The sequence below is a fragment of the Homo sapiens genome, chromosome 3 (assembly GCF_000001405.40).
Source record: "Homo sapiens chromosome 3, GRCh38.p14 Primary Assembly".
NCBI classification, from domain to species: domain Eukaryota; kingdom Metazoa; phylum Chordata; class Mammalia; order Primates; family Hominidae; genus Homo; species Homo sapiens.
This window is the reverse complement of record NC_000003.12, coordinates 47,953,172-47,976,594: the sequence shown is the minus strand read 5'-3', so window position 1 is coordinate 47,976,594 and position 23,423 is coordinate 47,953,172. Positions and strand designations below refer to the sequence as shown.

The 23,423-nt window shown below is 41.0% G+C and overlaps 1 protein-coding gene and 1 pseudogene across 167 annotated transcripts in view, besides 1 other annotated feature; both read left to right on the top strand.

The window, feature by feature from the left end:
* MAP4 (microtubule associated protein 4) overlaps nt 1–23,423 on the top strand; it is a 238,154-nt gene that overhangs the window by 112,254 nt on the left and 102,477 nt on the right. For 4 of the 167 annotated variants that reach the window (NM_030885.4, NM_001385692.1, NM_001385690.1 and 1 more), the window contains one exon: nt 1,130–3,516. The exons of 161 other annotated variants lie outside the window; for them this stretch is intronic. In NM_030885.4, the coding sequence (NP_112147.2) occupies nt 1,130–1,137 (8 nt within the window). In that variant the 3' untranslated portion in view covers nt 1,138–3,516. Of the gene's footprint in view, nt 1–1,129; nt 3,517–13,744; nt 13,829–23,423 lie in introns of those variants that run through there. 2 more of the 167 variants (NM_001384849.1, NM_001384863.1) reach the window with 1 other exon arrangement.
* Nucleotides 14,541–14,650: a silencer, noted in NCBI's record as "silent region_14319". NCBI's record gives its function as "represses an Ori minimal core promoter by ATAC-STARR-seq in GM12878 lymphoblastoid cells {active_cell/tissue: GM12878}" and the evidence as "EXISTENCE:reporter gene assay evidence [ECO:0000049][PMID:35858748]".
* Nucleotides 15,514–16,265, top strand: VPS26BP1 (VPS26B pseudogene 1; annotated as a pseudogene).

Here is a 23,423-nt window from a genome sequence, read left to right as displayed (position 1 = left end):
TTAAGAAAACATTTATGCAAATATCCCTGTGATTAAAGGAGAAGTTTGAACATGAACTTTTAAAAAATGAGTAAATTCAGCTTTCTTTAAGCAGGAACCAGTTAACCAGGGTAAGGAAAGGCTGGAGGGGATTGACTTGATTAGGCAGTTGAAAGAGTGGATGCCATTTTCATCCAGGAAGGAAACAACTACAAAAACGAGTAGATTTCTTCTCCAGTAGGAAGTCATGCCTGACCAGAAGAGACTCAAACTCTGTGTAGCAGGTGCTTACCGCTGCCAGGCCTTAGTAGTACAGAATAGAAGGGTAAAAACTGTATCCTGGCCCTCACTGTTTCAGGATTCCCTTGTGACAAAAAAGAACCTGGCTCTTTATGAACTACCCAGTGGCATTATGAGAGTAGGTCGTTCTGTTCTTGGATACCTCTCTGCCCTTAGGTAGCATATAGTTTGCACACCTGGATTGAGTTTTGAATTGAACCACTTAACTGTATTAAAATAGATACTAGGCCGGGCGCGGTGGCTCACGCCTGTAATCCCAGCACTTTGGGAGACCGAGGCGGGCGGATCACCTGAGGTTGGGAGTTTGAGACCAGCCTAGCCAATATGGTGAAACCCCATCTCTGCTAAAAATACAAAAATTAGCTGGACGTGGTGGCACGTGCCTGTAGTCCCAGCTACTTGGGAGGCTGAGGCAGAAGAATCGCTTGAACCCAGGAGGCGGAGGTTTCAGTGAGCCGAGATCGCACCACTGCACTCCAGCCTGGTCAACAGAGCAAGACTCCGTCTCAAAAAAAAAAAAAAAGATACTTTACTGAAAATATGCATGTTTTATTTGGGGAGGGAAGGTGGAGGGAGGGGATGGCAGTGCATGTTTTTGGAGCATGTGGTGACTTCATTCTAATTTGGCCATCACTACCTGGAGCATCTAACTCAATGCCATTTTGAAAATTCCCATTTCTGTTTCCTTCAGAATGTTATCTATAGTCCCGAGAGCAAACCAGCTTCATTAATAGCTTTGGTTTATGAGCATCTTGTGATATTGAACTTGCTGTTTACTAATGACCTGTGCTTTTCCACCCTTTTCTTCCCCTTCCTACTTCTTCCTCCCTCTCTATTTTTCTCCTCCTAGAAGCCTAGCGTGTCTCTCAACACTGGGGCTGCTGCAACACCAGACCAGTGATCTTTCCTAAGCATCGTTATACTTCTAAAACCTTCAGCATTTTGCAGAGCTTTGCTTTTCATTCCTGGACATGATGTAGAAGAAACTGAGGGTAGTTCTTCGGGGCCTATTTCTGCTGATGCCTGAGCAAACAACCTGCTTCCTCTTGTGCTCTGCAGGGTTTGATGGAGCCTCATTTCCCTTTGTGAACACAAAGTGCAAAATGAATTCTTTTTAATTTTAGTAATTTTTACAAAGGTTATCTAATGTCTTTTATTTCTTGTTTTCTTTATGATTTTATCATTTGATTCATTCTCACATTTTTTTCCTTTAAATATTTTTAGTTGACCTTTTTCCTTTGGTTTTCAAATGTTCAACATGAATCAGAATAGTGTAACACCAAATGAGAACATGTGTTTTCATAAAGGGGTTGAGGCCACCAGTACTGCAGCGAATTTCCTTTTCTTCTCCCTCCTCCTTCCTTCTCTGAGCTTGCTTTTAGGGAAGGTTAATCTTACAGGCTACCTATGTTTCTCTCCACCTTACTAAAATCTAAATAATGATAGATATTTTAAGTTTTTAAATTGAGTAGTTCTGAGTAATCCTAGAATATTTTTCCAAATTAAATAATCCTTTATTATTTGCAAGTTGGGCCAAATTTTTTTTTTTTTGGAGACGGACTCTTAACAATCTAAGATTGTTTCAACAGGACTTTCTTATTCCCATTCCTAATTTTTTCAAACTAATTGCTTAAATCTAGAACCAGTTGAGATTAGTACTGTACAATGGTATGCTTTGATTGTATTTATAGAAATATAACATAAAACATGGACCATGTTTTGAAATCTTAGAGGAATTCTGGTTTAAAATCTGAAATACTTTAAAGTTTTCTATCCTTTTACTGATTATGCAGCTTCTTATAACCCCCAAGGTACAGATTATTTCAGCTTAAAAGAAATAATTGGCACCATGTTCTGAGAAAGATTTTGAGATATACATTGTTTTTTGTTTTTGAGACAGGGTCTCACTCTTGCCTAGGCTGGAGTGCGGTGGCGCGATCTTGGCTTACTGCACCCTCTGCCTCCCAGGTTCAAGTGGTTCTCCTGCCTCAGCCTCCCAAGTAGCTGGGATTATAGGTGTGCGCCACCACACCAGCTAATTTTTGTATTTTTAGTAGAGACGGGGTTTTACTTTGTTGGCCAGGCTGGTCTCGAACTCCTGATCTCAAGTGATCCACCCGCCTTGGCCACCCAAAGTGCTGGGATTACAGGTGTGAGACACTGTGCCTGGCCAGATATACATTGTTTTAGATCCCCTGATACAGAACTACTTTTGAGATGGTAAGATTAGAATATCATGAAAGTTTAAACTGAATCCTTGCAGCGACTTCCGGAATTTAGGAAGCATTCCCTCTTCTACAGGGGTCTGGTCACAAGGGCTGGATTCTCTGACAAAAATTTCTTCTATGGATTCTGGACAGAAGACACTTGAGGGTGATATGTTTTAAAGGAAAGAGGTTATGCTTATCTTCTTAGCAGTTGATAAAATATTAAAACTCTCTTGCCATAGAGAATACACCATCAAAGAAAACACAACCCTTTCCCTTTGGTGTACAGTTATTTATTAAGTTGATTTTGGGGTTTCTTTCGCCAGGGATCTTTTCAAAACTGGTAGTAGTTATTTTTAAAAATCATGTTTGACATCTTTCTATTGCTCGTAACCAGTCCCTGTAGCTGTCTAAGTTATGGGTGGAGAAGCCTGGGTATGACTTTCCGTTGTGTACACTCACACTTCATGATTGACATTTATTTATTCTTTTATTTCCATTTGGTTATGCTTATTTTTGTTTGAAATTTGTTTTTTTCAAATATGTTTCCTTTTTGAACTTACAGAATTGTTGAAATTTTCTACTAACAGCCAGCTAAAATTTGGTATATGTTAGCTCTATCTGTTTCACTTGGACGTTTCATTTTGAAAGAAAGAAATTTTATGTTTCACATATAGTTTTATACAAAGTAGCCAGTCCCATAATGAAATGCTGTATTGCCATAGTGGTCACACCCAAGTGGTCCAGTATCTCAATGGTGAGGCAGCCAGACTGGTCAGGGCTGCTTTGTTGAAATGTGATGATTTTCATATGCCTTCTTTCTCTTTCTCTCTCTCTTTTTTTTTCCTTTTTTGGCCCAATGTTGAAGATGTAGAACTTTGTTTTTAAATAATGTTTTTATAATTTCATTCGTATACCTAAGTTTGTATTTTTTGTGACTTTGGACTTCAACAGTTTGTATATTGGGACTTCTAATGTGATTACTGTACTAAATAAATTCCACTAATAAACATCTTACATTAACACCTTATGGACTGGATTTGGTTGGGGTCATAATTGTTGAAATATAATGTTACTAAAACACAAGTTGGGTAAAGACTTGAGGCCCAAGTTCTAGGTCTAATATAGCTTCTAATCCCACCCGGATTAATTGTATGGACTTTTAAGTTTTTGTCAAGCATTTTCACTTATGAATTTTTTTTTCTTTTTTCTTTTTTTTTTTTGAGACGGAGTCTCGCTCTGTCGCCCAGGCTGGAGTGCAGTGGCATGATCTCGGCTCATTGCAAGCTCCGCTTCCCGGGTTCACGCCATTCTCCTGCCTCAGCCTCCTGAGTAGCTGGGACTACAGGCGCCCGCCACCACGCCCAGCTAATTTTTTGTATTTTTAGTAGAGGCGGGGTTTCACCATGTTAGCCAGGATGGTCTCGATCTCCTGACCTCATGATCCGGCCACCTTAGCCTCCCAAAGTGCTGGGATTACAGGCGTGAGCCACCGCGCCCAGCCCACTTATGATTTTTGATAGTTATTGTAAACTCTCTTTTATCCAGAATTATAAAAGTTAAGAAGTTCAAATGACTACTGATATTTAATGTCATTTGGTGAGAAAGTCACTTGACAGAAAGGTGTGAAGAAGTTATTCCAAAAGGAGGTTTCCATGGTATATCAATTGTTGTTAGATGCTTTCTAATACTACATTTATTAATTTCTAACACTACATTTAGTTTAGTGCAGTTAAAATTCACATTCAAAGTCTTCCTAAAGTGCCTCCTGAATTATCAGATAAAATTTACTACATTCAGTAACATTTAATTTGATAACTTTGTTATTTGATAACCCAGTATGCAGTATCTGGGAAGAATTCAACAAAATGCGCAGTTCCCTAGCCATTCTGGGTTAGTGTTTGTTTACAGTAGGGTTGCAAGTACAATATGTTGACTGAATTAAGACATTAAAAATATTTTATATCTAAGTAATTTGCATAGCATAAGGAACTTTTTAAGCTTGGCAGACATTTTAGTTAAGAACACTTAATTTAATGTTTTTAGATTTCCTTTTTATTAAAACAGCTCAGTAATCTGTTCTCAGGTTTAAAGCACAGATTTTAAATACTATAAGGAATAATTGACCATTAACTTTCTTATACATACCCTAGGTTTAAAGCTTTTGGTAATTGAAGCAATTCTTGAATTTTGTTATTGTCCTCATCCCTGATGCGAAGTGAAACCTGGCTTCATTTGGATTCTTCCTCCTTATTGACTTGATAATATGGTGGGAGGCTAGAGGGTGTTCTAGGCAAAGACACAGGACTGGTCCAGCAGGCACAGAATGTTAGTTTCATTCCTAAATCATGTGTAATACTGTATTATCCTCAATTTTATGTTGATGCCGTTTCCATTACAGTGAAGGTTTAACAAGACTTAACTACAAATTATTTGTGGGATAAAGCTCTGTGCGACCATGGAGGTAAATTACTCTTATTTATAGTGTTTGGGGCTAGACACATTGCACTAAGTGCTGTACAAATGGCAGTGTTACTGGTTGTTTCCATCGTAATTAGAGTAGGTAAACAGTTTACTATTGTGATAACTGTTTGCATGTGTAAAGTCATGCCAGCAGTGAAACAGTAAATCTACTTTTTTAGAATATCATGACACAGAAGGTATTCTGTGTGCTTCATCACTATCTCATCTGGTAGGATGCAAAGGATTTAGCATCAGAAAAATGCAAAAGCACCAAAAATGTGAAATATTAACAGATAAATAAATCTGTGGTGTGTTAGAGTTTCTGAACAGCTATTGGAGCCACGCTGTAAATTGGCATCATAACTCACAAGTGGAGCCCAGACATAAGCTGCACATTATGTTGCTATGTATAGACAGCAAGACATCCATCCGAACTCCACCAAATTCCTGGAACAAAGTTTTATTTCTTTTCTTTCATTTTCCAGTTAATGAGTTGCATGCTGGAGACACATCAGCAAATTAACAGCACGTAATGTTTCTTAAAGTTTTTTTGGTTCATGGTTTTCTAATAAAAATACAGAATTTCTCTTCAGAAAAGTCCACATATACCCATATACAAGATGTTACATTTACGTTTAGAGTGTTTAGGACTCCATTGAAACCAGCTCATGGACTACAATCCTTTTCTAAGCCAAGCATTTAATTAATACTCTAAGCCACGTTATTTCAGTTTCTTTTGGGGCTTTGTATTGAATAAGACAAAATAGCTTCTTCTTGAGCTTTAAGTGAAAATATAATTCTGATTTTTTTTTGTTTGTTTTTGTTTTTGAGACGAAGTTTCGCCCTTGTTGCCCAGGCTTGAATGCAATGGCACGATCTTAGGTCACTGCAACCTCCGTCTCCCAGGTTCGAGCGATTCTCCTGCCTCAGCCTCCCAAGTTGCTGTAGCTGGGATTACAGGTGCCCGCCACCATGCCCAGCTAATTTTTTGTATTTTTAGTACAGATGGAGTTTCACCATGTTGGCCAGGCTGGTCTCGAACTCCTGACCTCAGGTGATCCACCTGCCTCTGCCTCCCAAAGTGCTGGGATTGTAGGTGTGAGCCACCACGCCCAGCCTTCTGATGTTTTTTGGGTTTTTTTGTTCTTGTTTTTTGAGATGGAGTTTTGCTCTTGTTCCCCAGGCTGGAGCGCAGTGCAATGGCACAATCTCAGCTCACCACAACCTCCACCTCCTGGGTTCAAGCAATTCTCCTGCCTCAGCCTCCCAAGTAGCTGGGATTACAGGCACACGCCACCATACCTGGCTAATTTTGTATTTTTAGTAGAGACGGGGTTTCTCCATGTTGGTCAGGCTGGTCTCGAACTCCCAACCTCAGGTGATCCACCCACCTCGGCCTCCCAAAGTGCTGGGATTACAGGCATGAGCCACCATGCCCAGCTTTTAAAGACTTTTTAAAAAACCTATCTTAAGTTCTAGTTACTGAGAGAAAATCCATATTGAGGCAAGGGCTTTGCATGTAGGTAGTTTATTTTGGGAAGTGGCCCCAGGGCACAAGAGTGGGATACTGGGAAAAGTGAAATTAGAGGAAAAGAATACAGTGAAGTATGACTACTGACCTAGTCACTGCTGTGGGCAAAGTGGGCTTAAGTCTTTTGGGGTCTTTTGAGGACCTGTATAGAATGCCTCTCAGTGTTCACTACCTGAGTATCTTGGTTATAGAAGTGGATAACATTTATTCACCATTTACCATCTCTCATTGCTTAAGACTCTTTTTTTTTTTTTTGAGACAGAGTCTTGCTCTGTCGCCCAGGCTGGAGTGCAGTGGTGCGATCTCGGCCCACTGCAAGCTCTGCCTCCTGGGCCTAACACTCTTGTACTTCTGGATTTGCACATGTGTGGTGCCAGGATGCAGATGTCTTGTCTCTTGGTGTCAGAGAAGTTGTAGGGCAGAAAACTCTGGTTTGGTTGATACAAAGTGCTGTCAAATCACACCTATGTGCAGCTGGATGCTGTAGCAATAGCTAGAATAAATAGTGAACTTAACAGAGTGTGAGGTGGGGGCACAAGAAGTGTCTAACCAAGAGGTTACTTCAAAGCAAGATTCTCTTAACATAAGATTTGTCTGCTTATGCCTTACCATAGAGGATGAGATCCTTCAACTCTGTAGAGGAAATTTGAAGGAACTCCATCTATTATGGTACTAATCCTTTTTTTTTTTTCTCTCCCCGCGCCCCGCGAGACAGAGTTTTGCTCTTATTGCCCAGGCTGGAGTGCAATGGCGTGATCTTGGCTCACTGCAACCTCTGCCTCCAGGGCTTGTGATTCTCTTGCCTCAGCCTCCCGAGTAGCTGGGGTTACAGGCTCCCACCACCATGTCTGGCTAATTTTTGTGTTTTTAGTAGAGATGGGGTTTCAGCATGTTGGCCAGGCTGTTCTTGAGCTCCTGACCTCAGGTGATCCACCCATGTTCGCCTCCCAAAGTGCTGGGATTACAGGCGTGAGCCACTGCACCTAGCCAGGTGCTAATTCTTGAGCTGCATTGTTAGAAACTATAGAGATAGCCACAGATGTTAGTTTTGGAATTTTCCACCCAAACGTTTTTTTCTTTAGTTAGTTTTAGTAGTTTTTATGTTTCTAGAAATTTGTTCATTTCATCTAGGTTATATAATTTGTTTGCCTACAGTTCTTAGTATTCCCTTATAAACCTTTTTTATTCCTGTAAGATTCATAGTGATATCTCCTTTTCATTTCTGGTTTTAGTAGTTTGAATCCTCTCTCCTTTTTTCTTCATAAATGTAGTTAAAAGTTTGTCAATTTTTTTCATCTTTTGAAAGAACCAACTTTCAGTTTTGGTGAGTTTTCTCTATTTTCTCTCCTCTGTTTCCTTTATTTCCACTTTAATCTTTTTTATTTCCTTCCTTCTGCCTCATTTGAGTTTAGTTTGCTATTTTTCTAGTTTCTTTTGGTAGAAGGTTATGTTAGTGATTGGTGATTTTTATTTTATTTTATTCTTTTAATATAGGTGTTTATGGCTATAAATTTCCCTCTTACCACTGTTTTAGCTGTACCTCTTAAGATTTGATATGTTGTGTTTTCATTTTCATTCATCTGAAAGTATTTTCTAATTTCTTTTGGGATTTCTTTGACGTGTTGATTATTTAGGAGTGTGTTAATTTCTGCATATTTGTGCATTCCCCAATCTTCTGTTTACTTTCTAATTTCATCCCATTGTGGTTGGAGAACATAATTGGTATTCTTTCAATCCCTTTCAATATATGGAGGCTTGTTTTCTGGCCTAACATATGGTCTGTCCTGAAGAAGAATGTATATTCGGCTCTTGATGCGGGTGGAATGTTCTGTAAGATGTCCATTAGATGTAGTTGGTGTATAGTGTTATATAGGTCTTCTCTTTCCTCGTTGGTATTCTGTCTTGTTGTTCTATCCATTAGTGAAAGTGAGGTATTGCAGTATCCAACAATTATTATTGAGTAGTCTATTGTTTGCTCAAGTTCTGTTAGCTTTAAATTTTACATGCTTTTTACATTTCTCAAGGATAAATTCCTTGTGAAAAATGCTACGGTTGTGGATAAGAAAGATACACACAAATGATCGCTACAACTATGAGCCTCAGAAGCAGCAGTTGAAATGTCGGTCGCTGGTAGGACGATTTAAAGTGTTTTTTTGTTTTGAGGCAGGGTCTTACTCTGTCACCCAGGCTGGAGTGCAGTGGTGTGATCATAGCAGCCTGGAACTCTGGGTTCAAGTAATCCTCCCGCCTCAGTTTCCCAAGTAGCTAGGACTACAGGTGCACACCACCATGCCTGGCTAATTTTTAAAATCTTTTGTAGAGACAGGGTCTTGCTTTTTTGCACAGGATGGGCTTGAACTCTTTGCTTCAAGTGTTCTTCCCACCTCGGCCTCCCAAAGTACTGGGATTACAGGTGTGAGTCACTGTGCCCGGCCTAAATGTGTATTTTATTTTATTATTTTTGAGAAGGAGTCTTGCTTTGTTGCACAGGCTGGAATGCAGTGGCATGATCTTGGCTCACTGCAGCCTCCACCTTCCAGGTTCAGGTGATTCTCTTGCCTCACCCTGCCGAGTAGCCGAGATTACAGGCGCCTGCCGCCATGCCCAGCTAATTTTTGTATTTTCAGTAGAAACAGCATTTTACCATGTTGGCCAGGCTGGTCTCAAACTCCTGACCTCAGTGATCTGCCCATCTCAGCCTCCCAAAGTGTTGGGATTGCAGGCGTAAGCCACTGCACCCAGCCTAAATGTGTTTTTTGTTTTGTTTTGTTTTGTTTTTTGTGACGGAGTCTCGCTCTGTCGCCCAGGCTGGAGTGCAGTGACCCGTTCATGGCTCACTGCAACCTCCGCCTCCGGGTTCAAGCAATTCTCCTGCCTCAGCCTTCCAAGTAGATGGGATTACAGGCATGTGCCACCACGCCCAGCTAATTTTGTATTTTTAGTAGAGATGGGGTTTCTCCATGTTGGTCAGGCTGGTCTCAAACTCCTGACCTCAGGTCATCTGCCCGCCTCGGCCTCCCAAAGTGCTGGGATTACAGGCATGAGCCACTGCACCCGGCCCTAAATGTGTTTTTAAAAGATGATATTTTTTCCTCAAAATCTGAACAATGTTTTTTGCAGAAATAGAAAAATCCATTCGGAATCTCAAGGAGCCCTCCTGAATAGACAAAACAATCTTGAAAAAGAACAAAGTTGGAAGTCTCATTTGTTGATTTTCAAAACTTACTGAAATGCTATAATAATCAAAACTGTGTGGTATTGACTTAAAGGGAGACATATAGATCAAGGAACGGAATGGAAAGCCCAGAAATAAACTCTTTTATACATGGTAAGATGATTTTAGACAACGGTACCAGGACCATTCAATGGGAAAGGATGGTGTTTTCAATAAATGATGAGGGGAAAACTGGATATCCACATAAAAAAGTTGGATCCTGCTGGGAACAGTGGTTTATGCCAATAATCCCAGCGCTTTGGGAGGCCAAGTGAGAGGATTGCTTGAGGCAAGGAGTTCAAGACCAGCCTAGGCACTATAGGAAGACCTCATCTCTTAAAAGAAAAAAAAATTGGCCAGGTGCGGTGGCTCACACCTGTAATCCCAACACTTTGGGAGTCCCAGGAGGGCAGATCATGAGGTCAGGAGATCGAGACCATCCTGGCTAACATGGTGAAACCCCGTCTCTACTAAAAAATACAAAAAATTAGCCGGGCATGGTGGCAGGCGCCTGTAGTCCCAGCTACTCAGGAGGCTGAGGCAGGAGAATGGCATGAACCTAGGAGGCAGAGCTTACATAAGCCAAGATTGCGCCACTGCACTTCAGCCTGGGCAACAGAGCAAGACTCTGTCTCAAAAAAAAAAAAAAAAAAAAAAAAAAAAAAAAAAAAAGGTAGTGTGGGCCTGTAGTCCCAGCTACTCAGGAAACTGAGGCAGGAGGATCCTTTGAGCTGAGGAGTTCAAGGCTGCAGTGAGCTATGGTAAAGTACACCGCTGCATTCACCCTGGGAGACAGAGAGAAATCCTGTCTCTCCCTCTCTTTTTTTTAAGTTGGGACCATTATCTTATATTCAAAAATTAACTTAAAATGGATCAAAGACCTAAACAAAGCACCAAGGCTATACATTTCTTAGAAGAAAACATAGAGGGAAATCTTCATGACATTGGATTTGGCAGTGTTTTCTTGGATATACACCAAAAACACAGACGACAAAAGAAAAAACAGATAAATTAGGCTATATGAAAATTGAAAATTTTTGTCTATCTCTGTAGAGTGAAAAGGCAACCCATGGAGGCAAAATATTTGCAAATCTTATATCTTCTCAGGAGTTAATATCCAGAATATGTAAATAACTTCTAGAGCTCAACAAAAAAAAATTAAAAATATGGGCAAAGGACTTGAAGAAACATTTCTTCATAAAAGATACAAAAATTGCCAAGAAATACATGAAAAGATGCTCAGCATCATTAATCATTAGAGAAATGCAAATCAAAACCACAATGAAATATCACTTCATACTCATTAGGATGGCTAGTATGAAAACAAGAACAGAAATTAACAAGTGTTTACGAGGATGTGGAAAAATTAGAACCCTTGTGTACTGCTGATAGGAATGTAAAATGAAAGTGCTATGGAAAATAGTATGGTGGCTCCTCAAAAAATTAAAAACAGAATTATTGTAAGATCCAGCAACCCAACTTCTGGATATATGCCCAAAGGAATTGGAATCAGGGACTTGAACAGATATTTGTACACTCATGTTTGTAGCAGCATTATTCACAGTGGCCAAAAGATGGAAGCAACCCAGATGTCCCATCAACACATGGAATGAATAAACAAAAATGTGGTACATTCATATAATGGAACGTTATTTAGCCTTAAAAAGGAAGGAAATTCTGATATGGTACAACATGAATAAACCTTGAAGACACTATGCTAAGTGAAAAAAGCCAGTCACAAAAATACAAATTTATATGCGGTACCTAAAGTAGTCAAATTTACAGAAACAAATATAAATATACTCCATTTATATAAATTACCTTAAGTAGTCAAATTTACAGAAACAAAGTAGAATGGTGGTTCCCAGGGGCTGGGAGAGGCGGGGAATGGATGTGTTTGGTGTTGCTTAATGGGTACAAAGTTTCTGATTTGCAAGATGAAAAAGTTCTGGAGATGGATGGTGGTGATGATTGCACAACAGTGTGAATGTACTTAATACCACTGAACTGTACACTTAAAAATCGTTAAAATCGTAGAAATAAACAAATGCAGCTCATATTTAAAGGGAAAAAAATTTCAAATTAACCATCATATCACAGATCTCTTCAGAATTAAAGGGATGCTTTATATGTTAGGTATTTTGTACGTTTGTTCTGGTTTGTCCAGTTGCAGAGAGAAATACACAAATATGTCAACATTGCTTAAATGCTAAGCAGTTATGGGGAACATTTTGTAAGAACAGATACAATATTGGTTAAATTCCATGAGGGGGTTGAGTGAGAACTAAGGAAATTTGAAATTCGAGCTTGAAATCTCCATTTGGATGTAGAATTGATATCTCAAATTTGAAATGTTCTAAACTGAATTCATGATTGCCCCACCCCAAAATCAAAACAGAGAAGAAAAAGAAGAAAAAAACCACCTGCCTCCCCATCTCCTTAAATGGAAATTCTGTCCTGGTTGTTAAGGCTAAACATTTGGTTTCCCTATCCTCTTCTGCTCCTCTCACACCCCACACCCAGTTTGTCAGAAAAAGATATTTGGAACCTGACCACATCTCACCACCTCCACTGCTCTCTCCCTGATTGGACCACCATCATTAACCTTGGCTACTGTAATAACTTCCCAAATTAGTCTCTCTGCTTCCATTTGCTTGCTCCCTGCAGCATATTCTTAAAAACATCTACAGTGGTCCTGTACATTGATCATGCTGTTCTTTTGCACAGAACCCTCCAGTGGTTGCCCATCTCAAAGTAAAAGCCAAAGTCCTTATGAAATACCACAAGGCCCTATGATGTCGTTGTCATCTTTCTGACCAGATCTTTTCTTAGTTACCCCTTTACTTACTTTGCTTCATGGTGTTCTTGCTACTGTTCCTTGAACAAGCCAGGTGGGCATCTGCCTTGAGCTCTGAGCACTAGCAGTTTTCTCTGCCTGGAATGTTCTTCCCTTTGATATATTCATGATTGACTCTTCACTTTCTCAATGAGTACTTCTCGACTATCTTTTTAAAAATTGCACCCCTTCTATTTTTTCGTCCCACTGTTCTACTTGAATTTTCTTCGTGGCTTTTGTCATGTCACTTTCTAATAATTTGTATAGTTTACTTATCTCATCTGCCTTTCCCCACCAGAAGAAGATATTATAGAAACAAATTTTATGAGAGGGACAGGGCTTTTGTTTTGGTCACTGCTGTGGCCCAGCACCTAGAACACTGTCTGGTGGATAGTAGATCCTCTGTAGCTATTGAATGAATAATCTTTAATATCTATTTGTTTCTGGCCTCACATGGGAAAAGAAACTTAAAAACAAGACCAGATACAATCGTAATAATTCTTGCCAGGTTATTGGTACGCATCTTTCTGGAAATATGTTATCTGTCATGAATTTGTTTAAATTTTGAGGAAGCTGTGGATAGAGCACCTACTAGCTTTGATTTCTTAGGCAAGTTGTTTGCCCTCTTTGAGGCTAAGATTCCTGCTGTGTAAAAGGAGAGCTCTATAAAAATAGTTGTTTGCCTGAAGTGACAGAAATTATTTTCAGTGCTTTGAAACCTCGTTGAAGGGGTTAATATTTAAATGTAAGATGATATTAGAATGATGATTAATGTCCACATAGAAAGTTCTTACAGTTCAACCCATTATATACTTTTGTTAAATCATTCTGTTTGACCATCAGCCCCTTTTCCTACTTAATTGGTTGTGTAACAGTATTTTAATCGGATGTAACTGGAGCATATTGGTCCATTGTGAAGCAGAAATGCTCTGTTTCTAGAGGACAAAACTGGAGGTGAAACTTCAAAAGTGAGCTCCAGGCAGACTGAAAGAAGAGTTTTTTTGTTTTGTTTCTTGTGAAAAAATTAACTTAGGACTCTCACTGCAAAAAACTGGCAAGCCTGGCCCTCCAGTGGGTTTTCAGCAATTTAAAATGAAATGAGAAGATGCAAAACTATGTCAACTGTAAACTTAAGTATTAACATTAGACTCCTTAGAGGTCTTCATTGAAGGATTTTGCTTTCTATTTAACAAATTAATATTTCTGGTCTTCAGTTTTTCTGTGTAAAACGAACAGGCATTCTGCTGTTTCTGCTGCTGCTGTTAGTGCTGAGCAACAGAGATACAGTATGTTCTGCGGTAGGTGATAGCTTTTTAGACATTTAGAGATTAACATTTGCCTTCTGATTTATTTTCTTTGGGTTAAACATCTTTCATTTTTTCTTCCACTCTTTCCTATTATGTAGATTTATGCTGTTTTTAATGGCCAATATTTGGATCAGAGTCTATTCAGGAGACAGAAGCTACACCATAAATTGAACAGAGAATTTACTATAGGGGTAAAGAGAACTCTAAAGAATACAGGAATGACAGATATAGGGAATAGTCACTACCCTTAGGGCTGGGGCAGAGTACACAAAGAAATAACAAATTTGGAAAAGTATGCGCCCCTCCCCCACCCTGCCCCCAAAGCTGATTGCATATCTTGGAGGAAGTCTCCATTTGGTAGTAAAGATGTTTGCTGAGTTGCTGCAGGTCAGGGTGATGTGGGGCAAACAAGCCCCCAGACTGGGGCTTAACCCAGGAGGGTTCTTGGCTTTGCCAGGAAAGAATTTAAGGGTGAGCCAGTAGTGAGAGAAAGAAACTTTTATTGAACCAGTGCTGCTTCTTGCTGAGCAGGGCTAACCCATAGGCAGTGTGCCCAGAATCGGTGTCTGTGAGCTGCTAGCTAGCTGTTTATATCTGTTATTAATTACATGCTAATTAAGAGGCAGGTTATTTAGAACTTTCTGGAAAAGGGGCTGGAAGTTTCTGGGAATCAGATAAGGTAACTTCTAGGCTGTTGCCATGGCATTTGTAAACTGCCATGGCACTGGTAGGAGTGTCTTTATGCTAATAAACCCTGAGGGCAACTCGAGGTTACTTTTGTCAGCATCTGCTGGTTTCAGCCAGATCTTGTTCCAATCAGCAGGGTGCGACAGGAAATTAAGTCCTGCTGGTCTTCTACCTCAAAGGTAGTTAAGCAGGAAGCTGTACTTGGGGGTGCTGCGGCATCACCAGCAAGCCTGTTTGAGGCACTGGTGGAACTTGCCTGGGAAGATGTCCATGAGAATGCCCACTAAAGCTTGTTGGGATGAGCACCATGGGGTGTTCTGCACACCAGCAGAGCACCATGGAAGTAAGAAGATGCAAAAGCACACTAGAACCAGGAAGAGAAACCCTTTCCTTCCATGCCCTCTACTAAGCTTAGTGTCATCATGCCCGCTCTCTAGGAAGAAATGTTTACATTATTACAGGCAGGGCAATGAAAGGTAGATTTGGAATTGAGAGGCAATATATTGATTACTTGCATAGCCTATTATTTTGGCTACTTAGCTTCCATATGCACTTTACACACATTTGAGCTCCCATATAACAATGAAACTCTTATGTTTCTACCTAACAAGATACAGCTATGTCAGAGGGTGAAACTCTCACCCTTGTTCTAAAATGAGGAATGAGGACATGCTCAGCCCCATAGTCATTGTATCCATTGCTGGCTATATTTTTGTTTGTTTGTTTGTTTTAATAGAATCAGGGTTTTGCTGTGTTGCCCAGGCTAGTCTCAAACTCCTGAGCTCAAGCAATCCTCCGGCCTCAGCCTCCCAATGTCCTGGGATTATAGGTGTGAGCCACTGTGCTTGGCCTGCTGGCTGTTTATCAGTCCTCAAATAGAAGTTCCAGCTTCAGAGGGCCAAGGTCATGTGATGGGAGCCAGGGGCTTGGAGTTCTGAGGGAAGAGGAGTGAAGTATTGGGGGATGTGGCAGTATCACTGACAGTGAGGTTTTTTGGAGGCTTTTTTGGTCTGATTTGTGAGATTGATATTGTCCTTAATGATAAGGAAACAAAGAAAATGGCAGAAGTGAAAACTGAAAATGGCGAAGTAGAAAAACACCATCTCCTCTATGATGGAGAATCTGTTTCAGGAAAGGTGAAAGAGTCTAGAAAGAGCTAGAGCACCACAACATTAGAATTGAATTTGTACGTCAAATTGAACTTTTCTATGATAAGAGTAATATTCAAGAGTTTGTAAACCTAGTGAAAGAACTAGCCTTACCTGGAGAGCTGACTCAGAAGTTGTCATTTGGAATTTATACATGTTGAAAAGTCATGAGAATCTTACATTGGTGCTAATGTCCTCTTGATGTATTGAAGTGTTAGTAGTAAGAAGACTGACAGACTTGGTAAAAAGAATGTGATCTTACTGTTCACCAACTTGCCAGCTATCCTGATGGAAGTGGGCATTGAAGATTGTCTACATATAGAATTTGAATATAATGAAGTATCATTTAAAGGATGTGACTGTTACAAAAATTTACCTCTTATAAGTAAGAATAAAAACACAACATATGGGGTTACAACTGATCAATAAGACTGTTGTTAGCAGGATATGACCTAACTCCAACAATGAAAGTTATGAACAAAAAAGTTTCAGTAAGGTACTTTTTGAATTTAGCGCCTGTTGATGAGGAAGACAGAGGGTACTTTAGGCAGCAGATCATTTAATGGAGAAAAGCTCCTGAAAAACTGAGGAAACAGAATAAACTTTTACCAGTGATTTGAACCTCCAGAATCACAAGCATCTGCTGAATAGCCTGAAATATACTGAATAAGATGAAAAAAGAAAAACAAAACTATAATCATTAAGTTAAACAGGTTAAAGATGGCTGCAGCATGTGGAGGGGCAAAATGGGCATAACTCTGCCCGGGCATGGTGGCTCACACCTGTAATCCCAGCACTTTGGGAGGCGAGGCAGGCGGATCACTTGAGATCCCAAGTTCAAGACCAGCCCGGCCAACATGATGAAACCCTGTCTCTACTAAAAATACAAAAAGTTAGCTGGGCATGGTGGTGAGTGCCTGTAATCCCAGTTACTTGGGAGGCTGAGGCAGGAGAATTGCTTGAACCCAGGAGGCAGAGGTTTCATTGAACCAAGATTGCACCACTGCACTCCAGCCTGGGCAACAGAACAAGACTTCATCTCAAAAAAAAATAAAAATGGCCAAAACTCCATTTATATTCATCTTCCTTTATCTTACAGCGCTACATTTATTTCATGATATAGCAAAATGTTCTTCATGTATATACATTTTTTTTTTTTTTTTTGAGATGGAGTCTCGCTCTGTCGCCCAGGGTGGAGTGCAGCGGCGCGATCTTGGCTCACTGCATGCTCCACCTCCCGGGTTCACGCCATGCTCCTGCCTCAGCCTCCTGAGTAGCTGGGACTACAGGCTCCCGCCACCACGTCCGGCTAATTTCTTTTTGTATTTTTAGTAGAGACGGGGTTTCACCGTGTTAGCCAGGATGGTCTCGATCTCCTGACCTTGTGATCTGCCCACCTCGGCCTCCCAAAGTGCTGGGATTACAGACGTGAGCCACTGCGCCCAGCCACATTTTTTTTTTTTTCCCTTGAAAATCGCTCTTTTGCCCAGGCTGGAGTGCAGTGGCACAATCTTGGCTCACTGCAACCACCGCCTCCCAGATTCAAGCGATTCTCCTGCCTCTCAGCCTCCCAAGTAGCTGGGACCACAGGTGTGTGCTACCACGCTCGGCTGATTTTTATATTTTTAGTAGAGACGGGGGTTCTCCAGGCTAGTCTCGAACTCCTGACCTCAGGTGATCCACCCGCTTGGCCTCCAAAAGTGCTGGGATTACAGGTGTGTGAGTTACCACACCCGGCCACCTTCATGTATATACATTTTTAAAAGTGCTTTCTTTGAAATGCTCAAATTTTCTTAAACTGCCTTTTTTTTTTTTACTGCACACTTTGATGACAAGCATTCAGATATGCGTCAGCATAAGCTTTAAAGATTTTCATGTGGCAGAAAACAAAGTTCCACTGACTAGTTTGTTACCAAAAGTTGTATTATAAATCTAATTTCAAGGCGGGTGCGGTGGCTCATGCCTGTAATTTCAGCACTTTGGGAGGCCGAGTTGGGTGGATCACGAGGTCAAGAGATCAAGACCATCCTGGCCAACATGGTGAAACCCCGTCTCTACTAAAAATACAAAAATTAGCCAGGTGTGGTGGTGCACGCCTATAGACCCAGCTACTTGGGAGGCTGAGGCAGGAGAATTGCTTGAACCTGGGAGGCGGAGGTTGCAGTGAGCCGAGATCTTGCCGCTGCACTCCATCCTGATGACAGAGTGAGACTTGGTCTCAAAAAAAAAAAAAAAAAAAATTAGCCGGGTGTGGTGCACACCCCTGGAATCCCAGCTACTCAGGAGGCTGAGGCAAGAGAATCACTTGAAGCTGGGAGGCGGAGGTTGCAGTGAGTCAAGATCGCACCACTGCACTCCAGCCTGGGCAACAGAGTGAGACTCGGTCTCAAAAAAACAAAACTAAACTGAACTAATTCCAACTTATAATAATGGGAAGAAGGAAAGAAGAAAATGGTTAGAATATACAAACAAATACCAAATATAACAAAGAGAAAGTTCATCCTCATTTCTGTGATTAGTAATGAGGCCACAGTTGATATCTAGGCTTCTTTCTTCAGTTACCTATTTCATGTTTCCCTTGCCTTCAGCACGAACCTCAGCTGGTTGAGGTTCTTTACCTGGTGAAATGACTCAAACATTTATTCCCTCATTAGTCCAGTCCTTTTTTGGTTGCTGTAGTTTTCCATTAATCTTTATTTTTGGCATGGAAGTATTAAGAGGTGCCTTAGATAATCCCTTGGGTTTCAGACATAGTCCTCCTTGCTTTCACTGTGTAGCAGCAACCGTTTCCCCTTGACAATTGGGCTCAATCTTTCCCAACCAGTAGGTTCAGCCTGTTGGTTCAGTGGTGTAAGGAGTCCCAAGTAGCCAAGTGGCAGTCTCATCTTCTAATGCAATTGAACCATTGTTGTGTATGCTAGTAGATATATTTCCTGCTTAGGGACTAGCACTTCCAAGCCAGCAGAACTCAGTTGTTAGGAGTGAAAGCAAAAATTCAGTGATTGCTAGATATAATAGTGAGTGGAGCCGCACATACTTCTACCCTTTGATTCCCAGACCTGTATATTCTGATTGAGGGAGGAGACAGCACCATGTAAGGTGTCTCTGATTGAAATCATTACCCCATCCTTTCAGGGTGTTGTCTCCCTGAAACTGTAACTTAGTCTTCAGTAATCAATTCCCTATTTTAATTAGGCCAACCATTCTGTGTGATAGGATGTGACAACACCAGTTAAGTCCATGGACATGAGCCCATTTCTGCATTTCTTTACTATGAAATGACTTTCTTGGTCAGGAGCAATGCTGTGTGGGCTTGGCATGGTGGCATATGCCTGTAACCCCAGCATTTTGGGAGGCCAAGGCAGGAGGATCACTTGAGCCAAGGAGTTTGAGACCAGCCTGGGTAACATAGTGAGACCTTGTCTCTATTTTAAAAATACATCTTTTTTTTTGGCCAAGCATGGTGGCTCACACCTGTAATCCCAGCACTTTGGGAGGCTGAGGCGGGCAGATTGCCTGAGGTTAGGAGTTCGAGACCAGCCTGGCTAACATGGTGAAACCCCATCTCTACTAAAAATTCAAAAAAAATTAGCCGGGCATGGTGGCACATGCCTGTAGTCCCAGCTACTTGGGAGGCTGAGGCGGGAGAATCACTTGAACCCAGAAGGCAGAGGTTTCAGTGAGACAAGATCGTGCCACTGCACTCCAGACTGGGCGACAGAGGGAGACCTCATCTCAAAAAAAGAAGCAGCCGCAACACTGTGTGGAATGTCATGGTGGTAGATTGGGCACTTATATATAAGTTCATGGGTGGTGGAACTGCCAAAAACATTATAGGCAGAGAAGGCAAATCTGTATCCAGAATACATGTCTATTCTAGTGAGGACAAATCTCTTCCCTCACCCCTGCCCTTATTCCCCATAATAGAAGTCCAGCGTAATCAACTTGCCACCAGGTGGTTAGCTAGTTTTTGGGAAATGGTGCATATTCAGGGCTCAGAGTTAGTCTGTGCCATTAACAGATTAGACATTTAGCAGTAGCTTTAGTCAGGTCAGCCCTGTTTAGGGGAAGATCATGTTGTTGAGTCCATGCACAGCCTTCATGATGATTTTTTCCATGGGTTTTATTGAGCAAGCACTCTTGTAGCTATGGAAAGTGTCTAACATTTATATTCATGAAGTACGTCATTTTGTCAACTTGCTTATTAAGAGCCTCCTCTACAGTGAATGCAAATGATTATTCACATGGGACACAAATATCTTCACAGTCTGTGCCTGTTCTGAGAGTTTCATCTGCATATCTTTCCCCCAGATTTCCTTGTCACCATTTCCTTCCAAGTTCCTAACTAGCCAACAAAATCCTTAATAATTGTTCATAAATGAGTATAAATCTCTGCTTCTGGCCATGTCTTACCTCAGGCAAAAGGGAAAACCAAATGTACCCCTCAACGTTCTGCCCTCTGAAGGAAAGATTTTTCTTCATCACTGCCCTTCAGTCCTACCTCTTTAAATGGGGCTGTAGTGCTGCAGCTCCCCACTTTTGGGTGATACTGGCATGTTGTGCAGAGCTATGTGTAAACCAGACTTGAGTTTTTTCTTTCCCCAGTCAGCTGGTCATATGGAGCTCTCAGGAGGCCATTGACTTGGATTGAGGGAGAGGAAGCAATGCAACAGAACTCAATGCTGAAGTCTGAGCTACCTCCTATGTAACTTACTCATATTTCTGGACCTGCTTGAATTTTTTTTTTTACGTGTTTTTCACTTGATGATAGATCGTGCTGCACATGCCAAGCTAGACTACATAGGTTGGATAACATCTAGTTCCTGATGAGAAGCTCAGGACACGTGGTTGCATTATGTCCCATGGTTAGGCATTTGGTCTCTGCCAAGACCCAATAGCAAGCCTGAAACTATTTTTTGAAAGGTGAATAATTTTCTGCAAAAGAGGGCATAGATTTTCTCAAAATTCTAGAAGTCTGGGCAGTGATTCTCTTATTCTTGCTTGCTAAAGGCTCCATTCAGCATCCCTATTTGCCATGGACACTTCAAGTATCATTGGATCTGCCAGATCATAAGGCCCAAATGGCAGAGCAGCTTGAACCACAGCTTGAACTTGCTATAGAATCTTTTCTTGCTCTGAAACCCACTCTAAACTGTCAACCTTGTAGGTAACTTTGTAGCTGGGTTGAAGCCTACCAAACATTGTACCCTCTTTTTCATTGTTGGTGATGTTAATTAGAGCAACTTAATCACCTTGGAAGGGAAATTTTGACATGTTTTGAGCAATTGAATCCTGACATTTCATTGCTGCAGTGGGTCTCTGAATTTTTGTAGGGTTTATCTCGCATCAACTACTTTGTATATGTCTTACTAAAGCATCTAACGTATTTGCTACTTGCTATTTATCAGACCCAATTAGCATAATGTCAGTATAGTTGACTAGTGTGTGTGTGTGTGTGTGTGTGTGTGTGTGTGTGTGTGTGTGTGTACGTGCTTATTTATTTATTTTTTTGGAATGTCACGCGATCAAGATCTCTGTGGGCTACATTATGGTAGGAGAATGGCATAGCCCTGAGGCTAGATTCATAGGCACGTAAAAGGCAGGTAAAAGCAATGTGCTTCTGGTGGTTCTTGCAGATTTGTATGAAGAAAAAGGCATTATTCAGGTTAATAGCAGTATACCAAGTGCCGTGACCCATGTTGATTTGCTCCAGTAAAGATGCTATATCTGGGGCATCAGCTGCAATTGGAATCATCACCAGATTAAGTTTATGATAGTCCACGAGTTTATGATAGTCACTAAGATCCATCTGACTTCTGCACAGGACAAACTGGCGAGTTAAATCAAGATATAATAGGTATCACTACCCTGTTTCTTTCAAGTCTTTTGATGGTGACATTAAGCTCTTTAATTCTTGAGATGTGGTATTGCTTCTGGCTTAATATCTTAGTAGGGAGGGTAAGTTCTAGGGGCTTCCATTTAGCCCTTACTATTAAAATGACTCTTATCAGTTGGGTCAGAAAGCCAATATGGGAGCTCTGCCAATAGTCAAGTATGTCTGTTCCAAGTATTTATTCAGGAACTGAGGAGATAACAACAAAGTAGGCCCATTGTACTATGGGGTCCACTGTGAGGTGGACTTGAGCTAAGCATTTCATCTATTACCTGACCACTGTCAGCACTCACTTTGACTGATAGGCCACAGTAGCATTTTGAGTCCCCAGGAATTAGTAATCCCTGAAAGGTCTGGGTATTTCCTTTTCTCTAATCCGTAGTCACTCTAGTAAATGGCCTTTGGGGAAGCTTGGATGAGGATTTACAGTATGTACTTGTACTTGTGGGAACACTACAGGTTTTTCCTCAGGGGACCTGGGCTTGTTAATTGACTTGGGTCTAGAAATTAGATGAGAGGTCAAAACTTTTCTAGTCAGGTTTTTACTACCAGAGCTGGAGTTTTTTTCAGTTGTACAGATGAATCTGTTTTGGTAGGCTGCTTGTGGAATACTGTGTGATCAATTACTGCCAAAGATCCTGGTGGGCCAAGGTGTTCTGATTACCAGTACAACTTTACTGTATTTATAGTAGATTTCCCACCTTGTCTTTGGTGATTACATGCTGCTACTTGGCCTCTGTTATTTTAGGATCCCGTTACCCCTTTAAATCAGGGAACCCACTTAGTGGTGGCATTTCCCATGGCCATACCTAGGGGTTGTGACAGAGACCTTAGGGACTGTAAAACCTAAAATGTTTATCTGTGGCCCTTTATAAATAAAGTTTGCCAACCCATGTCTAGGGGAACAGGGACACACTGCAAAGGGGAGCAACCACAGAGCTTTTCAAGGATGAAGGTGATCCCCTCACTAATGCATTTCTTTTTTTGTTGTTGTTTGTTTTTTTTTTTGTTTTTTTGAGACAGAGTCTCACTCTGTCACCCAGGCTGGAGTACAGTGGCACGATCTTGGCTAACTGCAACCTCTGCCTCCTGGGTTCAAGCAATTCTCATGCCTCAGCCTCCCAAGTAGCTGGGATTACAGTTGTGCACCACCACACCTGGCTAATTTTTGTATTTTTAGTACAGTCGGGGTTTCACCATGTTGGCCAGGCTGGTCTTGAACTCCTGGCCTCAAGTGATCCACCTGGCTCGGCCTCCCAAAGTACTGGGATTACAGGTGTGAACCACCATGCCCACCTCACTAATGGATTTCTCAATGCCTGAGTGAAAGGATTATCTTCCGAGCTTTTTTTTGCAACATAGGTTACACATGAAAAATCCATTCCAACATTTCTATCTCCCTAAGTTTTTGAATTGCCTCTTCTACATCTTGCTAGGGAAACTTTGGCATCTCCACCTCATTAAACATAGTGGACTCTTTTTTAAAGAAAGTTTTATTTATTTATTTAGAGACAGGCTCTCACTCGGTCACTCAGGCTGGAGTGCAGTGGCGTGATCATAGCTCACTGTAATTTCGAACTCCTAGGCTCAAGTAGTCCTCCTTCCTCAGCCTCCTGAGTAGCTGGGATTACAGGCATGTGACACTGTGCCTGGTTAATTTTTTATTTTTTGTGGAGATGGGGTCTCTGTGTGTTGCTCATTCTAGGCTTGAACTCCTGGGCTCAAGCCTCCTACCTTGGCCCCCCTGCTGAGATTACAGGTGTGAACTGCACCCAGTCCTTTTGTTGTTGTTTTGTGTTTTTTTTTGTAAGTTTTTAAAGTCCTGTTTATTGAAGCATGAATTTACATTCAGTAAAGT